Source organism: Homo sapiens, chromosome 14 (genome assembly GCF_000001405.40).
Source record: "Homo sapiens chromosome 14, GRCh38.p14 Primary Assembly".
NCBI classification, from domain to species: domain Eukaryota; kingdom Metazoa; phylum Chordata; class Mammalia; order Primates; family Hominidae; genus Homo; species Homo sapiens.
The window spans coordinates 48,261,900-48,269,598 of record NC_000014.9 but is presented as its reverse complement, the minus strand read 5'-3'; the positions used below and the strand labels follow the sequence as shown (position 1 = coordinate 48,269,598).

Here is a 7,699-nt window from a genome sequence, read left to right as displayed (position 1 = left end):
CAGAAATGTGATCTCTCTTAGAAAAAGTTCAATGTGGGCTTGAGAAACATATGTATTCACTTTGTTGGATAAAGTAGTCTACAGATGCAAATTATATCCAGTGAATTAATGGTGCTGTTGAGTTCAACCATATCTCTCCTGCCTTTTCTGCCTGTTAGATCTAATAAATGGGCATTGAAGTCTCCAACTATAATATCTGATTCATTGATTTCTCCTTGAAGTGCTATTACTATTTGCCTCATGTATTTTGATGCTCTGTTATTATTCACATACACATTAAGGGTTTTTTTTCTTCCCGAAGAATTGACCACTGATAATTTTTCTTGCTCTGAAGTTTGCTCTATCTGAAATTAACACAGCTCCTCCAACTTTCTTTTGACTAGTTTTATAGTGGTATATCTTTCTCCATGCCTTTACTTTTAATCTATATGTGTCTTGATATTTAAAGGGTGTTTATTGTAGACAACATATAGTTGGGTCAGATTTTGTTCCACTCTGACAATATCTGTCTTTTAAGTGGAATATTAATACCATTCACATTTAAAGTGATAATTGATGTAGTTTGATTAATATCTACCATATTTATGTATGCTTTCTATTCATCACCCTTATAATTCATTTTTATTTTTGTCTTTCACCATTTTTCTACCTTTTGTGGTTTTAATTGAACATTTTATATGATTATATTTTGTTTCCTTTTCTTGATATATCAATTATACTTCCTTTTTAAAACATTTTTTCTTTTACAAATATTTTCTTTCATCCTGTGGGTTGTCTCTGCACTTTTCTGATTCATATGCTGTATAAAAGCTTTTGGCTTGATATGATACTACTATCAATTTTTGCTTCAGTTGCTTGTGCTTTTGAGGTTTCACTCAAGAAATCTTTGTGAACTACCCATCTGACAAGGGATTAATAACTAGAATATATAAGGAGCTCAAACAAATCCACAGGAAAAAATCCAATTTTAAAAATAGGCAAAATATCTGAATAGACATTTCTCAAAAGACATACAAATAGCAAATAAGTACATACAAATGCTCAACATCACTATTGATCAAAGAAGTGCAAGTTAAAACCACAATGAGATATTATCTCACCCCAGTTAAAATGGCTTTTACCAAAAAGTCAGATAATAACAGATACAGCAAGAATATGGGGAAAGGGGAACCCTCATAGACTGTTAGCAAAAATGTAAATCAGTGCAGCCACTATGGAAAACAGTTTTAAAGTTCCTCAAAAAACTTACAATACCTCTATCATGTAATACAATAATCCCATGCTGGATATATATCCAAAAGAAAGGACAACAATATTGTCATGCCTCTGAGCCTAAGCTAAGCCATCATATCCCCTGTGACCTGCACGTACACATCCAGATAGCCCATTCCTGCCTTAAGTGATGACATTCCACCACAAAATAAGTGAAAATGGCCTGTTCCTGCCTTAACTAATGACATTGTCTTGTGAAATTCCTTCTCCTGACTCATCCTGGCTTGAAGGCTCCCCCACTGAGTACATTGTGACCCCCACTCCTGCCCGCCAGACAACAACCCCGTTTGACTGTAATTTTCGTTTACCTACCCAAATCTTATAAAACAGCCCCACCCCTATCTCCCTTCACTGACTCTCTTTTCAGACTCAGCCCACCTGCACCCAGGTGAAATAAACAGCTTTATTGCTCACACAAAGCCTGTTTGGTGGTCTCTTCACACGGACGCGCATGAAATTTGGTACCGTGACTTGGATCGGGGGACCTCCCTTGGGAGATCAATACCCAGTCCTCCTGCTCTTTGCTCTGTGAGAAAGATCCCCCTACGACCTCAGGTCCTCAGACCAACCAGCCCAAGAAACATCTCGCCAATTTCAAATCCGGTAAGTGGCCTCTTTTTACTCTGTTCTCCAACCTCCCTCACTATGCCTCAGCCTCTTTCTCCTTTCAATCTTGGCACCACACTTCAATCTCTCCCTTCTTTTAATTTCAATTCCCTTTATTTTCTGGTAGAGACAAAGGAGACATGTTTTATCTGTGGACCCAAAACTCCGGCCCCGGTCATGGACTGCAAAGGCAGCCTTCCCTTGGTGTTTAATCATTGCAGGGACCCCTCTGATTATTCACCCAGGTTTCAGAGGTGTCAGACCACGCAGGGATGCCTGCCTTCGTCATTCAGCCTTAGCGGCAAGTCCTGCTTTTCTGGGGTAGGGTCAAGTACCCCAACACCTTCTCTCCATGTCTCTACCCCTTCTCTGCCTTTCTGAGGGGCAAGAAACCACAAACCCCTTCTCCTTCACCCTGAGCGGCAAGTCCCGCTTTTCTGGGGGAGGGACAAGTACCCCAACCTCCTATCTCTGTGCCCTGATCCCTTATTTCCACTCCCCGACATCTTATATCTCTGAGCCCCGATCTCCTATTTCCACAGCCCAACCTCTTATATCTCTGCGCCCCGATCCCGTTTCTGCGCCCCGACCTCTTATATCTCTGCACCCTGATCCCTTATTTCTGCACCCCAACCTCTTATATCTCTGCACCCCGATCCCTTATTTCCGTGCCCCATCTTATATCTCTGCACCCCATCCCTTATTTCTGCTCCCCAACCTCTTATATCTCTGCACCCTGATCCCTTATTTCCACACCTCAACCTCGTATCTCTGCGCCCCGACCCCTTCTCTGCTTTTCTGGAGGGCAAGAACCCCCCACCCCTTCTCCATGTCTCTACTCTCTTTTCTCTGGGCTTGCCTCCTTCACTATGAGCAAGCTTCCACCTTCCATTCCTCCTTCTTCTCCCTAGCCTGTGTTCTAAGAACTTAAAAACCTCTTCAACTCTCACCTGATCTAAAATCTAAGCATCTTATTTTCTTCTGCAATGCCACTTGACTCCAATACAAACTGGACAGTAGTTCCAAATAGCTGGAAAACGGCACTTTCAATTTTTCCATCCTGCAAGATCTAAATAATTCTTGTCATAAAATAGGCAAATGGTCTGAGGTGCCTGACATCCAGGCATTCTTTTACACATCGGTCCCTCTCTAGTCTCTCTTCCCAAGGCAACTCATCCCAAATCCTCCTTCTTTCCCTCCCGCCTGTCCCCTCAGTCCCAACCCCAAGTGTCACTGAGTCTTTCTAATCTTCCTTTTCTACAGATCCATCTGACGTCTCCCCTCCTCCCCAGGCTGCTTCTTGCCAGGCCAAGCTAGGTCCCAATTCTTCCTCAGCCTCGGCTCCTCCACCCTATAATCCTTTTATCACCTCCCCTCCTCACACCTGGTCTGGTTTACAGTTTCATTCCATGACTAACCCTCCCCCACTTGCCCAGCAATTTACCCTTAAAAAGCTGGCTGGAGCTAAAGGCATAATCAAGGTTAATGTTCCTTTTTCTTTATCCCAAATCAGATAGCGTTTAGGCTCTTTTTCATCAAATATAAAAATCCAGCCCAGTTCATGACTCGTTTGACAGCAACCCTGAGACGCTTTACAGCCCTAGACCCTAAAAGGTCAAAAGGCCGTCTTATTCACAAAATACAATTTATTACCCAATCTGCTCCCGACATTAAATAAAACAAAAATTAAATTCCGGCCCTCAAACCCCAGAACAGGATTTAATTAACCTTGCCTTCAAGGTGTACAATAATAGAAAAAAGTTGCAATTCCTTGCCTCCACTGTGAGACAAACCCCAGCCACATCTCCAGCACACAAGAACTTCCAAACGCCTGAACCGCAGCAGCCAGGCATTCCTCCAGAACCTCCCCCCCCAGGAGCTTGCTACAAGTGCCAGAAATCTGGCCACCAGGCCAAGGAATGCCTGCAGCCTGGGATTCCTCCTAAGCCATGTCCCATCTGTGCAGGACCCCACTGGAAATCGCACTGTCCAACTCACCTGGCAGCCAGTCCCAGAGCCCCTGGAACTCTGGCCCAAGGCTCTCTGACTCCTTCCCAGATCTTCTTGGCTTAGTGGCTGAAGACTGACGCTGCCCAATAGCCTCAGAAGCCCCCTAGACCATCACGGATGCCGAGCTTCAGATAACTCTCACAGTAGAAGGTAAGCCAGTCCCCTTCTTAATCAATACGGAGGCTACTCACTCCACATTACCTTCTTTTCAAGGGCCTATTTCCCTTGCCTCCATAACTGTTTTAGATATTGACAGCCAGGCTTCTAAACCTCTTAAAACTCCCCAACTCTGGTGCCAACTTAGACAATACTCTTTTAAGCACTCCTTTTAGTTATCCCCACCTGCCCAGTTCCCTTATTAGGCTGCCTTATTAGGCAGATAATTTAACTAAATTATCTGCTTCCCTGACCATTCCTGGATTACAGCTACATCTCATTGCCGCCCTTCTTTCCAATCCAAAGCCTCCTTTGTGTCCTCCTCTTGTATCCCCCCACCTTAAACCACAAGGATAAGATACCTCTACTCCCTCCTTGGCGACCGATCATGCACCCCTTACCATCTCATTAAAACCTAATCACCCTTACCCCGCTCAATGCCAAGATCCCATCCCACAGCACGCTTTAAAAGGATTAAAGCCTGTTATCACTCGCCTGCTACAGCATGGTCTTTTAAAGCCTATAAACTCTCCTTACAATTCCCCCATTTTACCTGTCCAAAAACTGGACAAGTCTTACAGATTAGTTCAGGATCTGTGCCTTATCAACTAAATTGTTTTGCCTATACACCCCGTGGTGCCGAACCCATATACTCTCCTATCCTCAATACCTCCCTCCACAACCCATTATTCTGTTCTAGATCTCAAACATGCTTTCTTTACTATTCCTTTGCAACCTTCATCCCAGCCTCTCTTCGCTTTCACTTAGACTGACCCGGACACCCATTAGGCTCAGCAAATTACCTAGGCTGTACTGCCGCAAGGCTTCACAGATAGCCCTCATTACTTCAGTCAAGCCCAAATTTCATCCTCATCTGTTACCTATCTTGGCATAATTCTCATAAAACACACGTGCTCTCCCTGCTTATCGTGTCCGATTAATCTCCCAAACCTCAATCCCTTACAAAACAACAACTCCTTTCCTTCCTAGGGATGGTTAGTGTGGTCAGAATTCTTACACAAGAGCCAGGATGGCACCCTGTAGCCTTTCTGTCCTAACAACTTGACCTTACTCTTTTAGCCTAGCCCTCAGGTCTGCATGCAATGGCTGTGGCTGCTTTAATACTTTTAGAGGCCCTAAAAATCACAAACTATGCTCATCTCACTCTCTACATTTCTCATAACTTCCAAAATCTATTTTCTTCCTCACACCTGACGCATATACTTTCTGCTCCCCAGCTCCTTCAGCTGTACTCACTCTTTGTTAAGTCCCACAATTACCATTGTTTCTGGCCCGGGCTTCAATCTGGCCTTGCACATTATTCCTGATACCACACCTGACCCTCATGACTGTATCTCTCTGATCCACCTGATATTCACCTCATTTCCCCACATTTCCTACTTCCCTGTTTCTCACCCTGATCACACTTAGTTTATTGATGGCAGTTCCACCAGTCCTAATCACCACACACCAGCAAAGGCAGGCTATGCTATAGTACAAGCCACTAGCCCGCCTCTTAGAACCTCTCATTTCCTTTCCATCATGGAAATCTATCCTCAAGGAAATAACTTCTCAGTGTTCCACCTGCTATTCTACTACTCCTCAGGGATTATTCAGGCCCCCTCCCTTCCCTACACATCAAGCTCAAGGATTTGCCCCCACCCAGGACTGGCAAATTAGCTTTACTCAACATGCCCCAAGTCAGATAACTGAAATACCTCTTAGTCTAGGTAGACACTTTCACTGGATAGGTAGAGGCCTTTCCTACAGGGTCTGAGAAGGCCACCGCAGTCATTTCTTCCCTTCTGTCAGACATAATTCCTCAGTTTAGCCTTCCCACCTCTATACAGTCTGATAACAGACCAGCCTTTTATAGTCAAATCAGCCAAGCATTTTTTCAGGCTCTTAGTATTCAGTGAAACCTTTATATCCCTTACGGTCCTCCTTCTTCAAGAAAAGTAGAACAGACTAAAAGTCTTTTAAAAACACACCTCACCAAGCTCAGCCACCAATTTAAAAAGGACTGGACAATACTTTTACCACTTTCCTTTCTCAGAATTCAGGCATGTCTTCAGAATGCTACAAGGTACAGCCCATTTAAGCTCCTGTATAGATGATCCTTTTTATTAGGCCCCAGTCTCATTCCAGACACCAGACCAACTTAGACTGTGCCCCAAAACAACTTGTCATCCCTACTATCTTCTGTCTAGTCATACTCCTATTCACTGTTCTCAACTACTCATACATGCCCTGCTCTTGTTTACACTGCCGGTTTACACTGTTTCTCCAAGCCATCACAGCTGTTATCTCCTAGTGCTATCCCCAAACTGCCACTCTTAACTCTTGAAGTAAATAAATAATCTTTGCTGACAGGACTATGCTGAACCTCCTTAGGCACTCTCTAATCAGATATCCTGAGTCGTCCGAATTCTTAGACCTTTAATACCTGTTTTTCTCCTTCTCTTATTTCATTTAGTTTTTCAATTCATACAAAACTGTATCCAGGCCATCACCAATAATCTAAATGACAAATGTTCCTTCTAACAACACCACAATATCACCCCTTACCACAAAATCTTCCTTCGGTTTAAACTCTCCCACTCTGCGTTCCCATGCCGCCCCTAATCCCGGTCAAAGCAGCCCTGAGAAACATTGCCCATTATCTCTCCATACCATCCTCCAAAATTCTCACTGTCCCAACACTTTACCACTATTTCATTTTATTTTTCTTATTAATATAAGAAGACAGGAATGTCAGGCCTCTGAGCCCAAGCTAAGCCATCATATCCCCTGTGACCTGCACGTACACATCCAGATGGCCCGTTCCTGCCTTAACTGATGACATTCCACCACAAAAGAAGTGAAAATGGCCTGTTCCTGCCTTAACTGATGACATTGTCTTGTGAAACTCCTTCTCCTGGTTCATCCTGGCTCAAAAGCTCCCCCACTGAGTACCTTGTGACCCCCACTCCTGCCCACCAGAGAACAATCCTCTTTGACTGTAATTTTCCTTTACGTACCCAAATCTTATAAAACGGCCCCACCCCTATCTCCCTTCGCTCTCTTTTCAGATTCAGCCCATCTGCACCCAGGTGAAATAAACAGCTTTATTGATCACACAAAGCCTGTTTGGTAGTCTCTTCACACGGACGTGCATGAAAAATATATCAAAAGAGTATTCGCATTCCTGTGTTTATTGCAGCATTATTCAAAATAGCAAGACGTGGAACAACCTGAGTGTTCATTGACAGATGAATGCATCAAGAAAATATGGTACATATACACCATGGAATATTATTCAGCAATAAAAAATAATCAAATTCTGTCATTTGCAACAACATGGTTGGAATTACAGGTCATTATGTTAAGTGAAATTATCCAGGAACAGAAAGACACATCTTCTCACTGATATGTGAGAAAAAAATTAAATTGAACTCATAGAGAGTAGAATGATTGTTACCAAAACTGGGAAGGGTAGTGGGGAGAGGTAAATAAAGTGGGAATTGTTAATGAGTGCAAAAATACAATTAGGTGGAAGAAATAACATGTAGCATTTTGTAGCACAATAGGGTTAATATAGCTAAATATTTAGTTTATATTTCAAAATAACTAAAAGAAAGTAATTGGAATTTTCCTAATACAAAAGAGATGATAA

At 43.0% G+C, this 7,699-nt stretch overlaps 1 long non-coding RNA gene across 1 annotated transcript, besides 1 other annotated feature; it reads left to right on the top strand.

Moving 5' to 3' along the window:
• Positions 1,133-1,852: an enhancer, noted in NCBI's record as "OCT4-NANOG-H3K27ac hESC enhancer chr14:48736950-48737669 (GRCh37/hg19 assembly coordinates)". NCBI's record gives its function as "activates a minimal SCP1, AML or CMV promoter by ChIP-STARR-seq in primed H9 embryonic stem cells {active_cell/tissue: H9 hESC(primed)}" and the evidence as "EXISTENCE:reporter gene assay evidence [ECO:0000049][PMID:30033119]".
• Positions 1,519-7,167, top strand: LOC124903310 (uncharacterized). Its single transcript, XR_007064150.1, has 2 exons — positions 1,519-4,038; positions 7,116-7,167. It is a non-coding gene; the product is annotated as an uncharacterized LOC124903310 (long non-coding RNA).
• The last annotated feature ends 532 nt before the right edge of the window (positions 7,168-7,699 follow it).